Source organism: Homo sapiens, chromosome 2 (assembly GCF_000001405.40).
Source record: "Homo sapiens chromosome 2, GRCh38.p14 Primary Assembly".
In the NCBI taxonomy this organism is placed as follows: domain Eukaryota; kingdom Metazoa; phylum Chordata; class Mammalia; order Primates; family Hominidae; genus Homo; species Homo sapiens.
This window is the reverse complement of record NC_000002.12, coordinates 98618829-98644810: the sequence shown is the minus strand read 5'-3', so window position 1 is coordinate 98644810 and position 25982 is coordinate 98618829. Positions and strand designations below refer to the sequence as shown.

Sequence of the window (25982 nt, the reverse complement as noted above, 5' to 3'; positions counted from 1 at the left end):
AATACAAAAATTAGCCTGGCATGGTGGCAGACGCCTGTAATCCTAGCTCCCCGGGAGGCTGAGGCAAGATAATTGCTTGAACGGGGGAGGTGGAGGTTGTAGTGAGCTGAGATCGCGCCCCTGCATTCCAGCCTTGGGGACGAGAGTGAGACTCAATCTAAAAAAAAAAAAAGAGTATGTTTAAAGTTGAAGAATTGAAGGAAATTTACAGGGTTCAAATAATATTGAGAGGTTAACATTTCATCTCCTATGGTACTTTTTAACACTTTAAGCATTTAGAGGCTGGACCTTTGACAATCTTGATCATTTAACTCAAAACTTAAAAGTCAAAAACCATCTTTACTTGCAAATGCTTTAGTGAAAACAAAATTAGGAGTCCTTATTTTTTGCATTTATTGATTCAGATAAAATTTTTTACCTAAACCTCTCAATGTTAAATGGGAAGAATCTTAGTAAGACACGAAGGGAAAATCTCTGACTTGCTTTTTGAATGCTTTGGGCCAGTAGGTATACGATAGATTATTATAGTAACATCGGGAATTTACTATATCTGTTTACACCCAGGTGACAGCTCAAGAGAAAGTTTAGCCGAAGCAACTTTGTTTAATTTTGATAATACAAGTGGGGAAATTGTTTATGATGATTTATAGTTGAAAGCGCAAGCCTCAGTGTATGTCGTGGGCAAGATTTCATGAATGTAAGCCATTTTGGTGCTTGGTTTCTTCATTGCAGCTATTGACTGGGAATATCTTTTCAGGTAAAATGTTTCAAGCGCCGGATCTTACTCTGATTGTAGAATTCATATTCATGTTTTACAAGGAGAAACCCATTGATTGGCTCCTGGACCATATTCTCTGGGTGAAAGTCTGCAACCCTGAAAAAGATGCAGTAAGTTAATTCCTCACCAGAGTGGAGGGAGTTTCACTTCTGTATTTCGTGAAAGTGACTTTTAGAGATTTTGCAAATAAATAGTTAAATAGGTAGGTGATATAAAACTTCTTTCCTGAGCTGATAAAAAGTTTCTATATTAGAAGAACTTTTAGATAGCAGTGGAAGATCCTGTAAAGCAGGAAGCTGTTACAAGATGACGTACATTCTTTAAATTGCTGATAAATGTTTCTAGTGTTTGTAAGCCCTGGTGGTTTACTAACATTGGATGTAGATGTTGGTCATATCTGTTCTTGGCATGGGATACCATTTCAGTTTGTTTTCTTCATATTTCCTGTTCACTCTCTTTTTCCTTGTATACTGGGGACGATATTAGACCCTAACACATCTGTAAATGAGGAATAAAATAGAAGTAATATTTTATACCAAAACAATGAGACGTTAAAGTACCTTTCAGCGTGTTACAAAAAGCCAGTGTTCATAATAATATGATTACCTTTGGGATAATAGTTGCAGTCAAGTAAGTGAATAATAATTTTTGCTTTGATCATTCAGATAGCATGTTATTACCATAGAGATCTTATTGTTAAGAGTAATTAGGCCAGGTACAGTGGTTCACGCCTGTAATCCCAGCACCTTGGGAGCCCAAGACTGGAGGATCACTTGAGCCCAGAAGTTCAGGACAAGCCTGGGCAACATATCAAGACCCATCTCTACAAAAAAACAATGATTTTTTTTTAAAAAGAGTAATTAGGTATGTTTTCCTTGTCCAATTTGAATTGTGTCTCTGAAAAAAAACTATAGCTTTTAATTTATTTGATGTAAGCATAAACAATATGTAAAAGTACAAATTCTTTAAAATGTCCATTTTGATGTGTAATGATAAGTATTACTGTAAGAACATGTCATTATAGAGTTGACTTACCATTCATTGTAACAAATAAGCATTAGTTTGACTTCATGACCTTCTACTCCCTAGAATAGTTGGATCCTCATACCTGCTAGGTTTTAGGATACTACCTTCTGGTGTCTGTAGGCTATCATTGCATTCTGTTTAAAAAAAACCACAAAAATTTTAAAAAACCCCAACACATTCTTAGTTAGAGGAAATCATGGAATCTAGCAATGGCAGAGTATCTGTTTTCCGACAATTAGTTGAACATATAAATTGTTTTAAACAAATCATTTTTTAGAGATCTCAGTCCTTATGCACATTTTCACTGTGACTTATAGAAATTTTTATTGTAGGACACAGAAAAAGTTAACGTCATCTTTAACCTCCTACAATACACTTGCATTCCATTCGTCCTGTGCAATTTTATTTAATATGTGGTTAGGTTCTAAAATGAGCCTGTGAGGTGAAAACATCTATAGTAGAAATTAAAACCACAAAAACCCTCTAAATCCTCCATAAATTTGGGTACATGAACTTTTGGACGATTTCATCCATTCCTTCACTCTTCTGTAGTCCATGTTTTTGTGTGGCCTCTAATTCTTCAGTTGCTTCCCCTAGAATCTCGAGGGTGCTGTCGCCACATCCTTGACAGTGGCCTGGGAAACCCTTCGAATCATTTATACATTGTCCCAAAGGGTTATCAGCGTGCTTGGGCCCTTCGGCCAGAGTCCTTCCATTGCCACTGGAGTGACAGGCTGAGTTCCAGACACTGCCTCGGTGGTTTTGCTCTCTCCTCAACCTTGCGCTCCCCAGTCTTCTCTCTCTCTTGCCCTTTGCCCTTCCCTTTGACTCTTCCTCCCTTTCTTTCTCCTTCCACTTGAGTATTTGTGCAAAGAAAATACACTATTTCACCTTTATTGTAGTGTCAGTAATAATGCCAGTGAAGTGAAACCTCTTGAGAAGTAGGCATTTTAGCACCCAGTATATTATTAGAAGTCTTCTACAGTGTAAATTTCTTTTTTTTTTTTTTTTGAGACAGAGTTTTGCTCTTGTCACCCAGACTGGAGTGCAATGGCGCAGTCTCAGCCCACTGTAGCCTCTGCCCCCCAGGTTCAAGCGATTCTCCTGCCTCTCAGCCTCCTGAGTAGCTGGGACTACAGGCACGGGCCACCACGCCTGGCAAATTTTTATATTTTTAGTAGAGACCAGGTTTCACCGTGTTGGCCAGAATGGTCTCAATCTCGTGACCTCATGATCCCCCAACCTCAGCCTCCCAAAGTGCTAGGATTACAGACGTGAGCCACCAAGCCGGCTGCTAATTTTTGTATTTTTTTTTCTTTTTTTTCTTTTGTGAGACGGAGTCTCGCTCCGTGGCCTAGGCTGGAGTGCAGTGGCGCGATCTCGGCTCACTGCAAGCTCCGCCTCCCGTGTTCACGCCATTCTCCTGCCTCAGCCTCCTGCATAGCTGGGACTACAGGCAGGCGCCCGCCACCACGCCCGGCTAATTTTTTTTTTTTTTTTTTTTTTTGTATTTTTAGTAGAGATGGGGTTTCACCGTGTTAGCCAGGATGGTCTCGATTTCCTGACCTCGTGATCCGCCCACCTCGGCCTCCCAAAGTGCTGGGATTACAGGCGTGAGCCACTGCGCCTGGCCAATTTTTGTATTTTTAGTAGAGACAGGGTTTCACCACGTTGGCCAGGCTGGTCTGAAACTCCTGACCTCAGGTGATCCATCTACCTTGGCCTCCCAAAGTGCTGGTATTGCAGGCGTGAGCCACCGTGCCCAGTCAAGTGTAAATTTCTTACAAAGATGTGTTTTTTGATTTTTTTTGGCCCCAAACTTTTGTAAGTTATTGAAAATGAAAAGTCTAAATAAATATTTGTCAAGGTGGCCCTCGGTGTTGCACAGCCTTCACACGCCAGGCCCATGCATGAGGACAGGTTGAGATGGAACGTCTGGACCGTGGGGCACTACGAGTTGAAACATAGGTGTCCCTTCCTGTGTTGACAGAGATTGTCTGTGGAATTTTTAATATCATTTACTTGCTTCTAGGCAAATGATTGCCTCACATTTTCAAGTTGCTTTCATGCAACAAAATGCGCCATTTATAATTTGCAAATTCATTATATTATTAAATAAAAAATATTTTGTATATTTGAACTAACCCCCTAGTCTATAGTTTATTCATTTTAATATTAAAAGTCAAATCTTTGTTGACATGTGTTGAAGGATGGTTGAAATTAAATCCTTCACTCTTCCCTTAACTATGCTTATTTTAAATTTCTGGATCATGACTATTTATCAAGGAAGTAGCAAATCTATTAGTGCCTCAAAGACTAGAAAAAAATATGATTTGTAATTATGACTTGAAGTTGTTTTCTTTTCAATTTTGTTGTTGTTGTTTTGTTTGTTTGTTTGTTTTTGTGACAGAGTTTTACTCTGTCACCCAGGCTGGAGTGCAGTGGTGCGATCTCGGCTCACTGCAACCTCTGCCTCCTGGGTTCAAGCGATTCTCCTGCTTCAGCCTTCCGAGTAGCTGGGATTATAGGCTTGCACACCTGGCTGATTTTTGTGTTTTTAGTAGAGATGGGGTTTCACCATGTTGGCCAGACTGGTCTCAAACTCCTGACCTCAGGTGATCCACCTGCCTTGGCCTTTCAACATGCTGGGATTATAGGCATGACCCACCGCGCCCAGCCCTTCTTTTCAATATTTTAATAAAGGACTTCTCATTTTCCAGGTGAGGGCAAGATTTCACTTTATGATGCAACACTAACGTGATTTTTTTTAATATTTAGAAACATTGTGATAGACAGAAAGCAAATCTGCGAATTCGCTTCAGACCTTCCCTTTTCCAACATGTTGGTCTGCACTCATCACTATCAGGAAAAATCCAAAAACTCACGGTTGGTGACTTAATTTTATTTTCTCATGAACATACAACTTGTTATTTAAGTTATAATTATTGTTTTTCTTCTTAAATAAGCTGTGTATTATTTAATAGCATATATGTCTTTGCTCCCAGGATAAAGATTATATGAAACCATTACTTCTTAAAATCCATGTAAACCCACCTGCGGAGGTATCTACTTCCTTGAAGGTCTACCAAGGGCATACGCTGGAGAAAACTTACATGGGAGAGGATTTCTTCTGGGCTATCACACCGATAGCTGGAGACTACATCTTGTTTAAATTTGATAAACCAGTCAATGTAGAAAGGTTGGTGATTATTGAAATGTATGTGATCTTACAATTTGGATCTCTTATTCGTAATGTGATTTATAATAGATTTTTGTGTGTGTGCCTGACAGATGTGGGGACACAGTGGGGCCCAAAATGTTGGGCTTTAAATTACATGTAAAACAACTCCATAATAAAACGAGTATGTTGTTTTCAGATGTAATGTCAACATTTAACACGTTTGGTGAACTTCATTGGTATTTCTGGACTTAGTATATCTAGTATAATTTTTTAATACTTTTTTGCGGAACTCTCGAAAATCTCAAATTAGTGTTTATGTCTTTATCCTGGTATGTCCCTTGAAAATTGATCTGGAGCTAGTTGATTAGCCCAGCAATTTGGTTGAAATGATAAATTTGACAGAGTATGACTATTCTTAGTCAATAGTTTTACAAATGCTAGGTTATTTTCGGTACACCAGGGAGAAATTTACAGCCATTTTATGTTTTTGAGCATTTATGTTCATTTTACAAAATTTAGGACTTTCTTCCTTTTTTTTTTTTGAGACAGTCTCGCTCTGTCGCCCAGACTGGAGTGCAATGGTGCAATGTAGCTCATTGCAACCTCCACCTCCTTGGTTCAAAAGATTCTCCTGCCTCAGCCTCCGAAGTAGCTGGGATTACAGGTACCTGACACCACACCTGGCTAATTTTTTTGTATTTTTAGTAGAGACAGGGTTTCACCATGTTGGCCAGGCTGGTCTCAAACTCCTGACCTCAGGTGATCCACCCATGTCTGCCTCCCAAAGTACTGGGATTATAGGCGTGAGCCATTGTGCCTGGCCTGTTTTTAATTTAATAGTCGTGATTCCTTCAGTCCTTCTTCAGGTTTGGGTGTGTTCCCCAGATTGGCAGTGGCATACTTAAAGGAACATAGTTCCCCACTCTGTGGTGTTTCCTTTTATGTGTCCCAATGGGAGGGCCAATTTGATTTTTAGAATCCACCAGAAATCATTTTCAGTAATTCTATTTGAGGTGGTCAGAAACAATTTAGAGCTGTGATACAATGTTACTAATTTTCTTTTGTTACTCTAAACTGATTCCAAAGAGGAATTCAAGTTTTAAAAGTGTTTTAAGCATTGGGAATACCACTGGAAGAACATACAGAAATAGTTTTGAATAATATTTTGCACTTGCATGAGCATTTATTTGTTTTGCTGTTAAAGTTCATTTTTATACTATTAGTAATACTCTGCACTTTGAGATATTGTTTACCACTCAGAGAGCCAGCATAGAATTAGAAACAGCATAGATGTCCATTAGTATGTGTTTGGTTAAATAAAATGATATTGCCACGCAGTGGAATGCTGTAAGCAGTCATCAAAAATATTGACGTAGATTAGTATGTATTGACATGAAAACTTTCTTAGATATATACTAAGTGGGGTGAAAAGCAAATTTTATAACTTTATAGAATATCCTTATAGATCATTTTATAGATTATGGCATTATATGTGTATAGGATTCTAGAATATATAGCATTCTATATAGAGAGTATAGAATTATAGATTATAGAAGGATTTTTTGAAAAATAAAAACAATGTTTTACATATATTATGTACATAGAACAAATCTGCAAAAAATCTATTAAACTGTTAATAGAGGTGAGATAACAGGGACAGTTTCACTTGACTTGATACATTTATTTTGTGTGCTTTTTCCCTCAACAATCAATTTCTTTTTCTTAGTCTTTGACTTTTGAGAAAGTATAGATTCACACGCAGCTGTAGGAAGTAAAACTGAGACATCCTGTGTACCCATCACCCCACTTGCCCAAGGGGAGCATCTTGCAGACTGTGGTTTTGACACAGTATATCAAGATAAGGACCGTTTCTATCACCCCAAGAATTCCCACGTAACCTTTTACAGCCATATCTACTGGCCCACCGCTGTAACTGTATCGTAACCATACTGTGACTGGCTGAGCATTTTGAATGTGCGGGGGACTTTTTGTCAGTTCTCCTGAACTGATTGGAGCAGTCCTCTGAGGTAGATGGGACTGTCTGCATTATAGAAGAAACTCAGGCTCAGAAAGCTGAGGAAACTCGTGAAAGGTGACAATTCTAGTAACTGAGAGACCCAGGATTTGGACCCAGGTCTTTCTGACTCCTAAGCCTAAACTTTTAACCATGCAACTGAACTAGAGTTAGGTTTAGATTCAGACATACTTTGCATGTCTGACCTAGTTTCCTCCCTTCCCCACACCCTGAGAACGCATACGCATACTTACTAGTTTGTTTTCAGAGTATCAAAAACAGAGTATTATACTCACACCCAGAAAGTATTTTAGATCTGTCACCATATATCGATAATTAGTCATTCTTCAAATGCTTTTTTAATATTGATATTCAGATATTTTAAGAGGTTAATTTACTTTTAGTCTACTAATATTAAAGTTATTTGTATTGGATAGAACTAGTCTTTGTTTCTTTTATTATTATTATTTATTACTATTATTATTATTATTATTTAGAGATGAGTTCTTGCTGTGTTACCCAGGCTGGAGTGCAGTGGCACAGTCACGGCTCACTGTAGATGAGACCTTCCAGGCTAAACTCAAGCAATCCTCTCACCTTAGCTTCCTGAGTAGCTGGGACTACAGGTACATACCACCATGCCTGGCTAATTTTTTAATTTTTTTGTAGCGACGAGGTCTCACTGTGTTGCCCAGGCTGGTCTTGAACCCCTGACCTCAAGTGATCCTCCTACCTCGGCCTCCCAAAGTGCTGGGAGTACAGGTGTGAGCCACCACGCCCAGCCTAGAACTGGTCTTTGGACATGCCATGACTACTGGTTGTCCTAGTGAAGTTTTTTTCTGATATAAGATACAGCAGTATTATATAGGTGTTATAATTTTCTGGGAAGAGGGTTAAATATTTAAAGCATTATAGACAGTGACATAAAACTCATCCTTTTTGAAAATATCTAGGTACATTATTATGTTAAGCAGCAAACATAATTGTTTCTGACAGAAGGAATGAACTTATCACCTAGGAGTCATGCTCTTAAGTTTCTAAGTTCCCTACAACCATTCAGAACACATACTGTGCAGTTATTAGAAGCTCTAGCGTTGTCAACTTTGCTTGCTTAGAGTCTTGTGTAGAAAAGCTGACTCTGAGGTAAGGTCATTTTCTTGAATCTTTGTAAAATCTAGCCCGACTTGTGTTTTTATTTTGATGTTTGTATTTTCAGTTATTTGTTCCATAGCGGCAACCAAGAACATCCTGGAGATATTCTGCTAAACACAACTGTGGAAGTTTTGCCTTTTAAGGTATGACTGCTATTTCCTCTTACCTTTCCCTAACAACTAATACTAGTAGACTTAGCTTGAAGCTTTTCTTGTTTTTAAGGGGAAAGAAAATTCTCATGATTTGCAGGACTCAATGGTGAATAATATTAATTTTTTTTGAAATATGAAGCACTTTTATATTTGACGAGTGCATTTGACCCATTCATAGAAAGAGCCTTCATTTTGTTTTATCTTGGAAAGTAACAGGCCACACCCGGTGGCTCACGTCTGTAATCCCAGCACTTTGGGAGGCTGAGATGGGTGGATCATTTGAGGTCAGGAGTTCAAAACCAGTCTGGCCAACATGACAAAACCCCATCTCTACTAAAAATACAAAAATTAGCCAGGAATCGTGGCATGCGCCTGTAATCCCAGCTACTCGGGAGGCTGAGGCACGAGAATCACTTGAACCTGGGAGGTGGAGGTTGCAAATAATATGAACGTTTCTACTAGAAAAAGAAATGAATCGTATTTTATTTTATTTTATTTTATTTTATTTTATTTTATTTTTTTGAGACAGAGTCTCGCTCTGTCACTGGCTGGAGTGCAGTGGTGCGATCTTGGCTCACTGCAACCTCTGCCTCCCAGGTTCAAGTGATTCTCCTGCCTCAGCCTCCCGAGTAGCTGGGAGTATAGGTGCGTGGCACTATGCCCAGCTAATTTTTGTATTTTAGTAGAGACTGGGTTTCAGCACTGGCCAGGATGGTCTTGATCTCCTGACCTCGTGATCCACCCGCCTCGGCCTCCCAAAGTGCTGAGATTACAGGCATGAGCCACTGTGCCTGGCCTGAATCATTGTTTTCTTTAGTGTTTACTTGCTGTTTGTATTTTGAGTCCAAATTCTATGTGTTTTTAATGCCTGTTAATTAATACACAATTTAATTTATTGGTCTCTAAGGAATCCTTAGATTTCTTTCAAGTTAACTACACAGTTCTTCTATAGTTTTAATAGAAAATACTGTTCTGTTTAATTGATTTAATGTTTCATTTCCAACCACCAATATATTATATACAGATTCAAACGATGGCTTAAGAAAACATCTTTTATTATTAATCTAATAAGTTTTTTAAAGTTCAAGACTGAGATGATATTTCTCTTTTTAGGGATAGCTGTGTTACAAATGCCACTTCATCTATATTAAGATATATTAATAACTTAGGTTAAATAGAAAGAATTATTTTTGAAATTAATGCTTTTGTTTTATTTTAGAGTGAAGGTTTGGAAATAAGCAAAGAAACCAAAGACAAACGATTAGAAGATGGCTATTTCAGAATAGGTAATATCTACTTTAGTAAAATGGCCTTTATTTTTCTGGACTTACTCCTAAAGTACTTTTCAGTTCTTTTCAGATGTTAAGCAACTTGAGGATTACAATTACCAGTGTCCTCCAGGTTTTATGTGTGCTGTGTTGTAGTACTTGCTTTTATTATTTGACCCAAGTAGGATTTCATATCACAGATTGGGCTGTCTTTCTCGCTCCTTCCGTGCTGTGTGTCATGCTCTTGTTGATGCTCCCTGATAGAGAGTCTGCCTGCACTGCCTCCTACTGGATGGGTTTAGCTCCTCTCCAGCCTCAGCTCACATTGACAGGCCAGAATCTGTGCTTCGGGCCCCTTCCCTCCTCCCCAGCGTCACATCTGTGTTGAGATGTCCACTGACATAGCCTTATACCTGGCAGCCACATAGCCGTCTACCACAAGCGTCTGTAACACACACATTTCTTTATTGATCGCCAGTTTTTGCTGTCCCTATCCATCTAGTTGCCTAAGCCTAACCTGGGAGGCACCCTGAAGACTGCCCTCTTCTTGCTGTCCATTAGCACAAATCTGTCGGTTTTTCATCTGAAAGTCTTGAGTCACCCTGTCTGTGAGGGGCAGGCTGCTCTGTGCCTCCAATTCAGAGCCAGGGGAGGGACTGCATCTCGCTGTGGCTTTCCTGTGGCTTTCTAGAGCCACTGCAGTTACTTTTCTGAAATGTAACTAGAACCCTGAGGCCTTTTTGTTATCTGATCCCTTAGCTCCCACCCACCTTCACATCTGTGACTTTCTCTCATTCTTTCTCTCCAGCCCTGAGACTGTTGTTCCTCTGATGAAGGCCCCACACTCTCCGGGCAGCCACATCTCTAGCCATTTTCTCTGCCTGAAATGATTGGTCAATTATTTTTCCTTCTAATAAATGCTTTTGCACCCTTAATCTGCCCATTTAATGGCCTCGCTTCCCTGCTCTTCAGATCCCCCCGTATGTGCCTTTGCTGTGTGGTTGTGTTGTTCCATAGCTCCGTTCTGTGTGCTCCCCTGGAGAGGGAGGGGCCGTGTCTCTCCTGTATGTCCTGTAGTTAACACAGGGCCTGTCACTTGGTAGACACTGACTCAATAACTAACTGTACATTTTCTTTTGTTTAAAACAAATGAATGCTTCTCTTAGTATTAGACAAGAGCAAATATTGGTAAATTGATATTGTAGGTCTATAGGATAAATACATTTTTAAGCCCTTTCTAGAACAGTTTTACCTTTGGTAAGTATCATTCAGCCATTGCTAAGAGGCTTGCACAATAACCCTGGCTACTTTCTTTATAGTTTTGGTGGATGAATGATTTTTATATTTGGGCTGTATCTTAGCCCATCTCTAGAAATATACACAAAATCAGCTGAGTATCTGAGACATTTATTACCCCATTACCTGTCACTTATTAAATTTCTGAAAATGGTATGTTCTAGATTATGAAAGTAGCATAGGAAATAGAGACATCTATATTAAATATCTCTATAGTAATTGAAGAAAATGACCATCTAAAATATCAACTCATATGTTCTTAGAATGAGAAGTGAACTTCTGCATCATCAGCCTAGGACCTTGTGTAATCAAACAGAACAGAACTAAAGAGCAACTGATCTTTTTTCAACTGAATGTAGAACATTCTGCTTCCTTAAGAAGTCTTCTTTAATGGAATTGTGTATGAGGAGCTTCCTTGACCCTCTCGTTAGCAAAACAATTATAACTGGTGAAAATTATTTTTAAAAAACTATTTTAAATCTGTGAAGATTGTCCTAAGGGCTAGCAGCAAATGGAGCAACATTTATTCATGAGAATCTCCCAGATCTCGGGGAGGGAGCCAGGACCAGCCTTATCACTCACAGTACCCCCAGCTCGGGGAGACAGAAGCTCTGCCCTGTGCAGGTACAGCCAGGAACACTGGACTCTCCTGCCAGCTTCTAGTCTAGGGCTGTGGCATCTGCCCAGGAGGGTCAGGCTGCCAGCATCTGTCCTTACCCCCAACTCTGTTGCAGAAGCTCTGTTCCAGACAAGAGCAGCTGATGAATCTGGGCAGAACTCTGCCCTAGGCACAGCAGGGTGAGAATACTTGGCCCTGATCACCGATGTCCTAGCTCACTGCCCCAGTCCAGTCAGTAGCAGAAGCCAGCCAAGAAAACCAAGGCTTGGCTGGGCGCAGTGGCTCATGCCTGTAATCTCAGCACTTTGGGAGGCCAAGGTAGGCAGATCACCAGCTCAAGAGTTCAAGACTAGCCTGGCCAACATGGTGAAACCCTATCTCTAGTAAAAATACAAAAATTAGCCAGGTGTGGTGGTGCATGCCTGTAGTTCCAGCTACTTAGTAGGCTGAGGCTGGAGAATTGCTTGAACCCAACGCAGGAGGTGGAGGTTGCAGTGAGCCAAGATTGCACCATTGCATTCCAGCCTGGGCCACTCTGTCTCAAACAAAACAAAACAAGACAAAAACCAAGGGCTACTGCCATGACCAGTGCTCTGATCCTAAAGCAAGGTGTCACTCCAAGAGAAGGGGCTGCTGTCCTTGCCAAGGACCCAGAGCAGTGGTGCAGAGATTGTGCCCAATGGAGAGGCAGGCCAGAAGAACAGAGAGCTCTGTAGTTCTCCCTAAAGAGGAGATGACTTACTTGAACCAGAATGTGGGGAAGTTCAGCCTAAGGGTGCTGTGGAATACAATGGAAATTTTAGTGTTAAGCAATTAGAGATGTTAGCTACAGACAAGCAAATTTGGATCCCAGTGGAAAGTTTAACAGGGAGAACTAGGGAAAGAGATGCTAGTAAGAGCCCTCTTGGCGTGCAAACAAGCTGCTGTTGAGACGGGAAAAGTTCCCTTACCCACCTTTCAGGGCGTGTGATGGGGGTGTGGCTTGCTTCTTTGGTGCCCTACTGCTCAAACCCCTAGGGGAGCATGCAGAAGGGCAGGCTGTGGGGCTCTGACCCCATGGCAGTGTCTAGGGGTGAATGTTTACAGCTCCTGAGGTCCCAGTGGGCGCGTGTTACAGGGTGCTCTTTTAGTTTAGCTGTCCATAGGTGGCTTGTGTTTGTTAGCTCAATTAGACCCCCTGCCTTTTTATTTATTTATTTATTTATTTATTTATTGGAGACAGAGTCTCGCTTTGCCGCCCAGGCTGAAGTGCAGTAGTGCAATCCCGGCTCACTGCAAGCGCCGCCTCCCGGGTTCAAGTGATTCTCCTGCCTCAGCCTCCCGAGTACCTGGGATTACAGGCGCCCACCACCAGGCCTGGCTCATTTTTCTATTTTTGGTAGAGGCGGGGTTTCGCCATGTTGGCCAGGCTGGTGTTGACCTCGTGATCCACTGGCCTCGGCCTCCCAAAGTGCTGGGATTACAGGCGTGACCCACCGCACCAGCCATTAGACCCCCTGCCTTATCACAAGGACAGAAGCTTTCTGTATCCCGGGGTCTCTTGCCTTGGTGTACCGGATGAATTGGATCACACGTGGGCTTGGAGAATGAGTGCCAGGTTTTATTGAGTGGAAGTAGCTCTCAGCACATGGGGGAGCCAGAAGGGAGATGGTTTTCCCCTGGAGTCGGGCTGCCTAGGCTCTCCTCCGACTGCCCTGGCCAAATTCTGCGTCATTCCGCCCATCGATGGCCTGCCAGCATCCGCGGGTGTGCTCTTCCGCCCGCCCGTGTGCTTCCTTCCCCTCCACGTCCAGCCACTTGTGTGCCTGCCTGCTAGGGTCTCAGGGCTTTTATAGGCACAGTATGGGGACGTGGCAGGCCAGGGTGGTCTTGGGAAATGCAACATTTGGGTGGGAAGACGGAAATGCCTGTCCTCACCTAGGTCGGTGGGCACAGGCCCGAGGTTGGAGCTCTAGCCAGGGCTCATGACCTTCTCTACCCAGCACTTCCCTGCTCCCCTTGCATGTCGCCAAGACTGGCCCTGGAGAGGGGCCTGAATTTAAATGGGATCAGACTGGGTAGCAACTTACGCGTGAAGGCATTGGCAAGAACAGTAGACCATCAGCTGGCCATCAGTGGAGACCCGAGGGTTGATGGCGTGGGGGTTAGAAGAGTAGAGCGTGATAGCTAAGAATGGTCTTGTGGAAGAAATACTAGTTCTATTTCAGTGGGTTAAAGCTGCGAGACGGCAGAAGAACCTTCTGCAGAGACCCAGTGGGAGAAGGAAAGGGCCACTGGTCAGGCATGGCGGGCGGAGGGGAGCCACGGCTGTAGCCCTTGGCCGTCCCTGTCAATGCCAGGAGTGTGGGGTTCCAGTCACTCTGGTAATTTCCTTCACTTTTTCTCTTCTTTCCTGTCTTAATACTTACCTTCCAGACCATTGGGTTAAGGACAAAGGTTAAGTTTGTAGTTTGAAAAGTCATTACACACACACAGTACCAAATACAAATTTAAAAGGGTAGTCTTAAGTCTTCTTCCCTTTTCTTCTCCTACCCACTGCTTCTGAGAGGCAGTTCCCGTAATGATTTGTGTCCCTTCGGGAGTATTGTATGCATAAATAACAATATCTGGGTATGTTCTCTAAGAACAACACATCGTCACACACAAATGATACGCCCTATAATCCAGTTTTACATCTCTTTTTTTCATGGAACAAAATGCCTATGTACGTATGGAACATGAACATTTAAAAATATTTTAATAATAATAATATGCTGAGTACCTGTATCCACCCTCCAGCTTAAGATGTGCCAATTCAGCTGTCCGTCCCTAATAGCTTCTCTTCTCTTCCCCTTCTCCCCAAAGCTATACCCTAATAGCTTCTCTTCTCCTTCAACACCTGAATTTTATGGTTACCATTTCCATTTTTACTATGTATGGAATATATTCCTAAGCAATGCACAGTGGGATTTTGCCTGTTTTCACGTTTGATATAAATATCTTTCTGTGGTCTACAGTTTGGTTTCTTCCCCCTCACAATTGTGAGATTCATCCACGTGAGTGTGTGTGTTTACGACTCATTCTTTTTCACTCCTCTATGGATGGATTCTGTGGACAGCACGATCTGTTCTCTGGTCATAAAGTTTGTGTACATGTTTTTGCTGTAATAAACATGGCTGCTTTGAACACTTGTGCACATGTATGAGAGTTTCTCTACAATATAGACTTAGGAAGAGAAGCAAATCTTCAACTGCATTATCTTCAACTTTTTCTTCATTATTTGATTGATTTATTTATTTATAGATGGAGTCTTGCTCTGTCGCCCAGGGTAGAGTGCAGTGGCACAATCTTGACTCACTGCATCCTCCGCCTCCTGGGTTCAAGCATTTCTCTCTGCCTCAGCCTCCCAATTAGCTGGGATTACAGGCGCAGGCCACCATGCCTGGCTTAATTTTTGTATTTTTAGTAGAGACGGGGTTTCACCATGTTGGCTAGGCTGGTCTCGAACTCCTGACCTCAGGTGATCTGCCTGCCTCAGCCTCCCAAAGTGCCAGAATTACAGGTGTGAGCGACTGTGGCTGGCTTATTCTTTTTTATTTTTTCTTCGACTGAAGAAATTGGCTGCCTAAAATTCCCTTGTATCAGCATATTGTAATTTATTTGGCCAGGCTCCTAGTGATGGATACTTAGGTTGTTTGCAATCTTTTGCGGTAGTGTATGTACTGTTCTTATACATGGGAGAGGATAAATTGCTGGGCAAGAGTGTTTTGATGAACTACTTATCATTTGGTAATTATTTTTCTAATGAAATGAGCTCATCAGGTGACAGTATTCAATGTCACATTGGTTAAAATGTTCCAAGTTTTGCAATATTTTTAAGATCTGAATCCCATGCCTAATTCAATATTCAATAATAATTTTTGGTAGCACCTACCTGCTACCCAAGTCCAGCACCAAGTATGGACAAACTTCTATGAAATAAGTTTATTAATAATTTTTGAATAAAAGCATTACTTTGGAGGCTCATAGGTTCAACATTTACAATATAAATTAGTACAAGCCTGCTCTGCTGTGGTTTTCAATCTGAATGTACCTTATTTTATTATTAATCTATTAACTATGCTGTGAGACTGGACAATGGATTGCATAATGTAACAGCATGTGGTCAGCAAACTACGGTCCATGGGGCACATCTGGCCCTCCACCTGTTTTTGAATAGTCTGTGATCTAAGAACATTTTTTAAAAAGTCATCTTTTTCTTTTTTTGTTTTTAAATGGCTAAAAAAGTAAAAAGAATACATTGTGCTATGTGAAAATTATATAAAATTCAGATTTCTGTGTCCATAAATAAAGTTTTTTTGGAAGACAGCCATGCTCATTTTCTAATGTAGTGTGTGCGTGTGTGCTTCTCTCCAACAGCAAAGATGAGTGAGTAGGTGCAGGAGAGATCGAGGTCATGCTCTCCCGGCTTTGCACTGCTGCTTAGAGTACTGCAGATCACAATGATGCATTTATAATTGGACAGTATTTTGAGAGCCACACATATCATGGCACTCTGACTTAAAAAAAAATTACAAGTACTTATCCATCATCAAAACAAGAAAAGTAGATTTTGAGCATTGTGGCTTTTAACACTGTAGAATGTGGGTTATGTTACAAAATTGTTGGCAAGTCATTGTAGTTATTGTGCAGTTATGTGAGAGCTGTACGTTATTAGGCTAAATACAATGATACTCCCAACTCACAGGAAAGCAGTGGTCAGAAAAGTTAGAAACTTTAGAATGGAATATCTCATCACAGCAGAATTTCTTCACTAAAAATAAAAATGAGGCTGTTCCCAAAGTGGTATTTCAAGTGGCTTATTTTTTAGCTAAGCAAGAAAAACCACTTACCAATCACGAGTTAATTAAATCATGGTTAATAGCAGCAGCCAAAGTAATGTGTGCAGAGAAAGTAAACTTATTTAAGGATAGGAGGCTTTCAGCAATAACAATTGTTTGAAGACTTAAGGACATTGGGAGCAATATCAGTATTCAAAAAACAAAGCAGATTATTTTGAGTGTTTTTCTTGGCTCCTGAGGAATTGACGGAGTTGTCACTGGTACTGCTCAGTTATTACTTGGAATCAGTGCCATGGTTGAAGACACTGAGGGTTGGCCCCTGTAAATAGTCTGTTTAGAACAACTACAGAGAAGAGTATTTTCACACAGGCTGAGAAAACACAAATTCAGTACAACCTGAAGTAGAATCTGCTAAGATGTGCTTAAACAAATGGTGCTAAAAAAAAATACTTGTGGAGAAGATGGCTTAGTTGCATTAATTTATAAAGCTTGAAAAAAATGTAAGGTATTTAAAGCCTATGGTTATTTATTTTATTATTCATCAGCCAGGTACTTTGCAGAAAAGATTTGAATGTGTCATATGTCATTGAACAAAAGTGTCAACAGTGAACCTTATTCACTCTCATGGACTTAGCCATCACAAATGCTGTGAATTTTTGTCAGAAATAGGAACTGAATATCCTGACTTGCCCTGCCACACAGCAGTTCAGTGGCTTAGCAGTGGTAGAGATTTACTGCAGTTTTTTTGAGTTCAGGACCAAGATTGAAATTTTCCCAAATGAGAACTTCCCTCAACAGCTATTATCACTTTGAAAATTCGTTTTTGCTAAACTGGGCATGGTGGCTCACGCTTGTGAGCCCAGCACTTTGGGAGGCCGAGGCAGGTGGATCACTTGAGGTCAGAGGTCCAAGACCAGCCTGGCCAGCATGGTGAAACCCCGTCTCTAATAAAGATACAAAAATTAGCCAGGTGTGGTGGCACATGCCTGTAATCCCAGCTGCTCGGGAGGCTGAGGTGGGAGGATCATTTGAACCTGGGAAGCAGAGGTTGCAGTGAGCCGAGATCGTGCCATCGCACTCCAGCTTGGGTGACAGAGTGAGACTCTATCTCAAAGAAAAAAAAAAGAAAACTAGTTTTTGCTGCAGACTTAATATTGTTTCTTAATGAATTCAACCTAAAATTACAAGACAAAATGGTGCTTATATGCAAAACTAACATTGCAGTCAAATCATTTTAATGACAGTTAACATTGAACTTGAAGCACCATCAAGCTCTTTATACATTTCTCATGCTTTCAAAAGTTAAAACAGGAAGCAAGATCTCCATCCCACACAAGTTTACGGCAGATGCACTTTCCAAGCTCAAACTATAGTCCCAGCAGTGGTTTTGGACCTCAATACAAATGAAAGAGAAATTTCCATATCTCAAAATCCATTTAATTGAGGAACTTCACCTAAATCTCAATTGGAAATGATTCATCTGCAGTGTAATAATATACCGGAAGGCTAATAATATACCAAAAGGAAAATCAAATAGAATTCCATAAGTGCCTCCCAAGGGATGCATGTGCCCCATTAAAATCGTGTGTTTGTGGATTGATATCAGTATTAGGCAGCACCTAGGCTGTGTGAAAGAACGTTTCAAAGATGTATATAAAATATCATTATCAATCAACAATAACAAGGGAACATTTGCAGTCAGTTTTGATTATAGGGAACACTAACTTTGAACCCCAGTTAAGTGAAATGTTATACTCCCGAAAGGAATTATGTTCTTCTCCTTGGTATACCTATATTACCAAAAAATATATATTGTATTCAGTTATCATTATATATTGAATTTCCACCTCAGATTTGTAAAAATTTGTTTTCTCTCTTCCTGTATATATTACCCTACATAGTAATCTCAAATTTCCTCTTGGCCCACAAGGACTGTCCTTTATAGAAAAAGTTTACCAACCTTGGCTTAAAGAAATTTGGCCCACAATGAACCATTTTCTTGTCACTTTTCTGACGACATTTTTTGGTTTTAAGATGGATGTTATTCCTGATAGCAAGAAAAGTGGTACACAGCATGTTACCTTTTATGGTTCTTGGTCCTTATTTTTATAGGAGAGCCTGTTTTAGCTTGTCATTATAGTGGAGTTTTATATTGAACTGTGTAGAGGAGGCATTATTTCTTAATTCCTTCTAAATGTGCCTTTGGAAAGAATACACTTGTATTGAGTCCCTGCTCAAGGTGAACAACTGTGTGCGTATTTAATTAACAAATCAAAATTTGTTATTGACTTAACATTCAAAGCAATCAGACTGCGTGATGGTACAGATTATATTTTGGTAAGATTTAGGTAAATCACAATTTACAAAAAACCTATAGTTTAAAACATGGTTGATATAAGAACAAATATATTTTTGTTTTTTAATTTGTAGTGAGAAAAATTATAGCTCTGCCTAATTAAGTAAATTGTGAAGTTTTTAAATATGCACTTCTTCATGAAAAATATAAAAGCTGAATGAAAGTAGAAAGAAGGGGGAAAGAAATTACCTGTGCCCTGTCAAAAGACATCTACTAGAAATATTTTGGTGTATTCCTTTCCTGCCTTAACTCAGTGATATTTTATGTTTGCTTATCTCGGTGTATCCAACAAGTATTGATTTTTATTTTGAAGGAAAATTTGAGAATGGTGTTGCAGAAGGAATGGTGGATCCAAGTCTCAATCCCATTTCAGCCTTTCGACTTTCAGTTATTCAGAATTCTGCTGTTTGGGCCATTCTTAATGAGGTAAGCATATATCAAATCAGTGAAACAACTTAGAAACTACATTTTTATTATGTTTTTATTTTGTATTTAAGGCCTTTTTGGAATTGAGAATTAACAGCTTTATCATACCTTTTATGATTTTGTATTTCAGATTCATATTAAAAAAGCCACCAACTGATCATCTGAGAAACCAACACATTTTTTCCTGTGAATTTGTTAATTAAAGATAGTTAAGCATGTATCTTTTTTTTATTTCTACTTGAACACTACCTCTTGTGAAGTCTACTGTAGATAAGACGATTGTCATTTCCACTTGGAAAGTGAATCTCCCATAATAATTGTATTTGTTTGAAACTAAGCTGTCCTCAGATTTTAACTTGACTCAAACATTTTTCAATTATGACAGCCTGTTAATATGACTTGTACTATTTTGGTATTATACTAATACATAAGAGTTGTACATATTGTTACATTCTTTAAATTTGAGAAAAACTAATGTTACATACATTTTATGAAGGGGGTACTTTTGAGGTTCACTTATTTTACTATTATAGACCCTCTTTTATAGATTATCAGGGATTATATATATAAATATATAAATATACATAAAAATGTTATGGAATTAATTTATTAGAAACACTTAAGAAGTACATATTTTTGTGCAGTAGATTTTTGAATCGATACTTTTTTTGAAAACCAGTTTCCTTGCTTTTTTAAGTTCTTTCTATATTTTTCTTTGGAAATGCAAACATTACAAACCAATGCCATTTTTCAAATGCACTGCCATTTAAGATTGATTATAGATGGATTTCTTAATTGAAGTACTTTTATAATCACAGTGACTGAACAAAATATTTTCAAAGACATTTGTCATTCCTTAAAGCCAAGATTTTAAAGACTAATGTCCTTCCTGAGGGTTACTTTACTATACTGTGTATGGTGTATAGCCACAGAAAGTCAGTCTGATAAATTTTCAATGTGTAAGTGTGATGCATTCAACCCAGATTATTGTAGACTTAACTTATTATATTTCCTCTGATATGTAAAATGACAAACTCTTCTTTCCTTTTTAATCTTTGTCTTTAATCCATGAATTAGGTGCATTATCTGCTGTTGATTCTTTTATATCTGCACTCATTTTATGACGTCAGACAAAATGTTTTCTAGGTGTTGCTATTGTATGAGTCATAATTGGTATAATTTTAAAGAAAATTGTAATATTGTTTTTTGGTGAAATATATTATTAGTAGTATATTTTCCAAAATGATTTTATTGTAGTATGAACTGATAAGTGAGTCCCGTGTCCAAGAGACTGTATTTATTACTCTTAAACACGCTATTCCAAATGATATTACTACTATAAACAAAGAATATTACCGGTCTCAGCAATCAGTGATCTTTATAAAAGTACTTTTAAAAAATGATGAATTATCACCAGGCGCTGTGGCTCACGCCTGTAATCCCAGCACTTTGGGAGGCCGAGGCGGGCGGATCACGAGGTCAGGAGATCAAGACCATCCTGGCTAACACGGTGAAACCCTGTCTCTACTAAAAATACAAAAAATTAGCCAGGCGTGGTGGCAGGTGCCTGTAATCCCAGCTACTTGGGAGGCTGAGGCAGGAGAATGGCGTGAACCCAGGAGGCAGAGCTGGCAGTGAGCTGAGATCGCACCACTGCACTCCAGCCTGGGCGACACAGCTAGACTCCGTCTCAAAAAAAAAAAAAGATGAAGTATCAACATCAGTTCCCAGCCAGTCTGCTTGGACACACTGGGGTGCCACAAGTGGGTTGCAGGTTGGTTGCAGACGGGCAGAGATGGATTCTGCTGAGCTTTCAGAGTGACCACTGGCTGGGGCCTAGCGCTGGGGCAAGGTTCCAGCTGGCTGCCTCTAGCCTGGAGGAGCTTCATCTAGTTACCCAATGTGCTGAACCAACAGCATGAAATAGCATCATTTCCTGTGCTGTGTTACAAAGTGCAAACGTTTGGAAACACTGATACAGTACAATTATTTCCATCACTCCATGTTGTTATAATTTTTAGTTACTTTTCTTGATTGAAAAGTCAATCACATTGCCAAAAATGATTTTTATGTCAGTTAAAGGCCAGTTGAAATTTTTTTATTAGGATGTTTTAAATTTACTTTTCACTTTCTTGAATTTTTTTCTTCTCAAATTTCCTTGGCCCAGTGCCCATGAGCAAATTTCATTCAAAAACAGGAATAACCTTTTGTCATAAAATTTTGGCACCAGCTTGGTATACTAAATTACTGCAAAGATAACTGAGTACCAGAAGTAAAAATCTCTGCAGGTGGGCTTAGGAGTACTCTTGGGTCCCTGGTTCCTCAGTTGCCAACTCTGGTTTCATGAAGAAAGACCATGCTCTGAAAATCTAGGGAGGAGAAAGTTATTGCAGCACCTGGTGTGATTTGTTACAACTTCTTTAAAGACAGCCTGCCTGGCTAGCTTTTTCCTGTTTTCATGCAGTTTGCCCTCCCAGCATTGGTCCACCTGTTGTTCCCAAGAAACTCATTCTTGTTCCCAAGACTCCTTTTAGCCAAATCTTTCCTATCATTCCAGGACTTTTTTGTGCTTCTCTCCCCATGAATCTACCCGTGCCTAGGGTGTGTGCCAGGCACGTGGCAGGTGGCCAGTCAGCATCTGGATGTGAGACCAATTATTCCAGCCTGCCCTCCTCTTTCTCTTTTTATCATTTTGTATTATTTTTGAGACAGGGTCTCGCTTTGTTGCCCAGGCTGGAGTGCAGTGGTGCTCTCATAGCTCACTGCAGCCTCGATCTCTGGCCTCAAGCAATCCTCCTGCCTCAGCCTCCCAAAGTGCTGGGATTATAGGTGTGTGCCACCATGTCCAGCCCCCTTTCTCTCTCTTAACTCCCTCTCCCTGCTGTCGTTGCCATACTCTTGCATACACAATCGGTTGTCTAGTTTTTGATTGTTTGTGTGTATGGTGTGTGCTGTCTCTCTGACCAGATTTCAGGTTCCTGAGGCGAGCCTGCAGCTCATACTGCTCATCTGTCCTCTCCTATGGTGGGTGCTCAGGGCCTCTCACTGTTAGTTACTCCCTCCTTTCTGCCCAGTTCTGCACTCAACTAGTAGAAGCAGCCATCCTTTCCCCAAGCAGGAAATTGTAGTGGTCGCCCTTAAGAGCAGTGTGAGGGCAGAAGATTAAGGGAGGGGAAGAGTCCCTGGAACTGGAAGAAGGTAAATACTTTGCCTTGAGAGGGCGCCGAATCATTTTACCAAAATAGTAAATGGAAAAAGTGTCAAAGGTTGGGACTAGTTTTAAAAACACATATAGCCAGTAGACACATGGGGGCTGTTTAAATAAAAACATTTTTTTACCCGGTTCTGCCATCACACACACTAGTGACATTCCAAGTACTCAGTGGCCATGTGGAGCTAGTGGCCACCACACTTGACACCACGGATGCAGAACTTTTCCATCACTGCAGAAAGCTCTGTTGAACAGTACTGTGTCCAGAGTGCTAATTATGAACAGCTTAGAAACCACAATTAATACATTCTCATGAGGTTAAAAGCAGACATGGGAATAGAACATAATGCAAATGATGATGAATATTTTGGGTGAGAAGAGAAAGCTGAGGACCCATTTCTAGGATTCTAAGATGTAAGATTTCTTAAGTTCTTTATCTTAGTCTCATGCATTCTCCACATCACGCGCTGTACCATACTGTGTAGTCAGAACAGACAGTGTGATTGAAAAGCTTTGGAAAAAGTTAACACAAAGGATTATTTAGCACATAGGCTGTAGATACGTATGTGTGTATTTGTTCAACAATTGGAGATGGTTGAATACCCTTGAACAAAGTGTGTATCTTCTCAAATCAGTGGTTGCACTAGTCAATAATTAGAAGGTGTTGTTATTTTTAAAACTATAAGCAAAATTATGAAGGCCTTTAAAAAATCTATCATAATAATGAAAAAGAGGTTGTCTCCCAACAGTGCTGTCCCTCAAAGAAAAGACTGGTTATGTGGAAACAGCACGTTTGGAGAGATTATTCTAGTGAATAACAGTGTATATTTGTGGTAGGCAAATTTCTAAGAATGACCCCTACTGACACCCCCACCAATGACCTTGTATAATATCCTCCCACTTTGAGCATGGGTGGAACCTGTTTGATCCATGATTATATCATGTTATGTAGCAAAAGGAAGACTGTCTGGGGGTGGCTAATCAAATCTTGTGACTCCTTTAAAAGCAGAGAGTTTTCTCGGGCTGGTGGCAGAAGTCAAGAGACAAAGCAGAAGGACCTCAGGCACCATTGCTGTTTTAAGGTAGAGGGGGCTGCATGAGAAGGAATGCACATGGCTTTGAGGAGCTGAGAGAGGCCTTGGCTAACAGCAAAGGAGCTGGGAACTGCAGTCCTACAGCCACGGGAACTGAATTCAGCCCATAAGCTCATTCATAGGCTTGGAAAGGCATTCATCTCCAGTCTCCAGATAAGACCCAGCCTGGCCAACACTTTGAATCCAGCCTTGTGAGACCCTAAGCCGAGAACTCACTTAAGCCTGCTTGGACTTCTGACCTACAGAACTATGAGATAATAAATCAGTGGTGTTTTAAGCTGCTAAATTTGTGGCAATTTGTTATGTAGGAATAGGAAATGAATACAGTATTTTAAAAGAGGTAAAGAGGAAATCTTCATACTTGATTCCCTGTAGTATGCTGGATATTTCTTGGTAAATGCATGAATAAAGTCTTTAGTAGCAAGTCATGTACCTGGACCTTGTTGGGGATGTTCTCGCCAGAGATCTCAATTAGTCTTCATTGGACGTTTGTTGGCAAAGTTGCAGCATCTTACTGAGTAGCGTTTGGTAAAGGAACTGCTAGAATGAGACTATAGGAATAGGACTGAAACAGTGTGTAAGGGATCTTTTTTATTTCTAGAAGAGGTGTTACTTTATACTGATTTAGACTGCTCTGAGCCTGTCAGAAGTAAATTCAAGAATGATTAACAGTGGTATTTTAGATACATTAAGAGCAAAAATAACCTTTGCCTTGTAGAGATCAGATAATCTGTGTATCGAGGGATTTAATTTTTTTTAACCAAAACTTAGTTTCTCTTTTTATCATCTAGCACAGATCAAATCCTGTATGGGCCAGCCAAATGTTTGTAGTTTGAGAATGTTTTGCAAATACCTCTCTGCTTCCAAGCCATTAATAGCTAATGAAGTTTTATTTTGGTTTGTCCATTAATTTTTCTGCTTATTTTTACTGTATTGCCATGTCCTTGATACGAGACAAGTAGAACTAAAAGAGAGAAAATGAGAGGTTAAGACTGTCAGAAGATGAGAAATGTGAGTCATAACCATACCTTAGTGTTTTAAGGGAACTTTATCCAGTCCAATCCCTTTATAGAAAAGGAACTTTTCCAAGTTATGTTGCAGTATTTATAGTGTGTAAAATTTTGTTTGACTTTGGTAGTTGTGCATTTTAAATTATGAATCTTATATGCTACGATAACTAGTATGCTTACTTTCTTTAATGCATGTGATCATACAATGCTAAAAAGGTATTTTTTAAAGACCCAACCAAACTGAGGATTTTGTTATACATATCTGTATCAACACCTATATATAAACTCTTCTTCTTACCTGAAACACTCCTTCACCCGGTTTGGGCACTAACTAGATCATTTTCAAAGGAACAAACAGGAAGGAGCAAGCTGGCACTCCAGGGTGCATCTGAGCTGAGAATTTAGAAGACCTCATTCAAGAAAGTAAACTGAGCATTGATGGGAAAGCACTTTGCGCGAAGTAACATTCCCACTGTTAATGTTGCAGTCAAAATTGTGGAAAAAAAAAAGTGGTGCTAAAATTGTTCTGAAATGAAGATTGTTTGTTGTGGGGAATATTTTAATACTCTTGGACTTTAGGGAGGCTATTTTATGTGTCACTTGCTCCTAGTTGTTTCATTGTATTAGTAATTAGCAAACTGTCCTGGAACCAAGGGTTTGGTACTTTTGCCTGATTAGCATTCCATTATTTATTTGAAATGCTCAGTGTTTGCTCAAATTTGGTGAAAATATCTTTTGAAGACATATTCTCTGAGCCTTAAAAATGGCTGCTATCGACAGTACTGTAAGATGCACTGCCAGTAGATTTGATACTTTTCATTTCAGTGTAGGCAGTAATGTTTTCTAAGAAAGATTTAGAAATCAGCAAAGTGTAACAATTGTGTTTCATTTATGGAATGGAAAAACTGAAGTGTCCCATTCAGAACACTTTGGAAAGGTTGTCTGCATTAGGGGATGTTTCTGGAAGCATCCCTTAGAGAAGCTGCCTGAGGAATCTCCTTGCCAGGTTGTACCAGATTTTTTTTTTTCTTAAATGTATTGTATATATTTTCCTTAAAATGTCTTCATTGGCTGAATGATTCCTATCCGTAGTAATATTTTAGGTACTTGTTGGATTTTTAAAGGAAGATTATTTATTTTCAGATTTGCTGCTATAATTGAAAACCTAGTAACTGGTCCTGTTGATTGTGCCTTCATCACTGTTTCTCTGTGCCACGACCGTTCATGTGTATTTGAAATAAAGAAGTTTAAAAAGCCATGTTGAATTCAAGATTCCTTCTAATAAAAATAGGTGAAACTTAATGAGTAGTATTTTATTATTAACTTTGTTAACACTGAGACAATACTAGTTATCCATTTTCAGTTAGAAAAAGGAGTGGATCCTCTATTGGGTTTTGTAAAGTCTCTAAAGAAAGGGGAAAAAAAAGCCCTACTGTTAAGACAGTGATGACCAATATTATGCTGATGTTCACTTTATTATATGTACTATACAGTTCCTAAAATAAGAGTAGCTACCTGGGCCTCTTTGATCTAAAATATTTAGGGGCTATAAGTAAGTTTTTAATGTAGAAAATGCTGC

The 25982-nt window shown here is 39.7% G+C and overlaps 1 protein-coding gene across 2 annotated transcripts in view; it reads left to right on the top strand.

Moving 5' to 3' along the window:
* MGAT4A (alpha-1,3-mannosyl-glycoprotein 4-beta-N-acetylglucosaminyltransferase A) overlaps nt 1-25705 on the top strand; it is a 112027-nt gene extending 86322 nt beyond the window's left edge. The window contains exons 10-16 of one of the 2 annotated variants that reach the window (NM_012214.3): nt 758-888; nt 4583-4690; nt 4810-5003; nt 8216-8294; nt 9523-9589; nt 18976-19088; nt 19219-25705. In NM_012214.3, coding sequence (NP_036346.1) covers nt 758-888; nt 4583-4690; nt 4810-5003; nt 8216-8294; nt 9523-9589; nt 18976-19088; nt 19219-19245 — 719 coding nt within the window. In that variant the 3' untranslated portion in view covers nt 19246-25705. The remainder of the gene's footprint in view (nt 1-757; nt 889-4582; nt 4691-4809; nt 5004-8215; nt 8295-9522; nt 9590-18975; nt 19089-19218) is intronic. The other variant, NM_001160154.2, reaches the window with a different exon arrangement.
* The last annotated feature ends 277 nt before the right edge of the window (nt 25706-25982 follow it).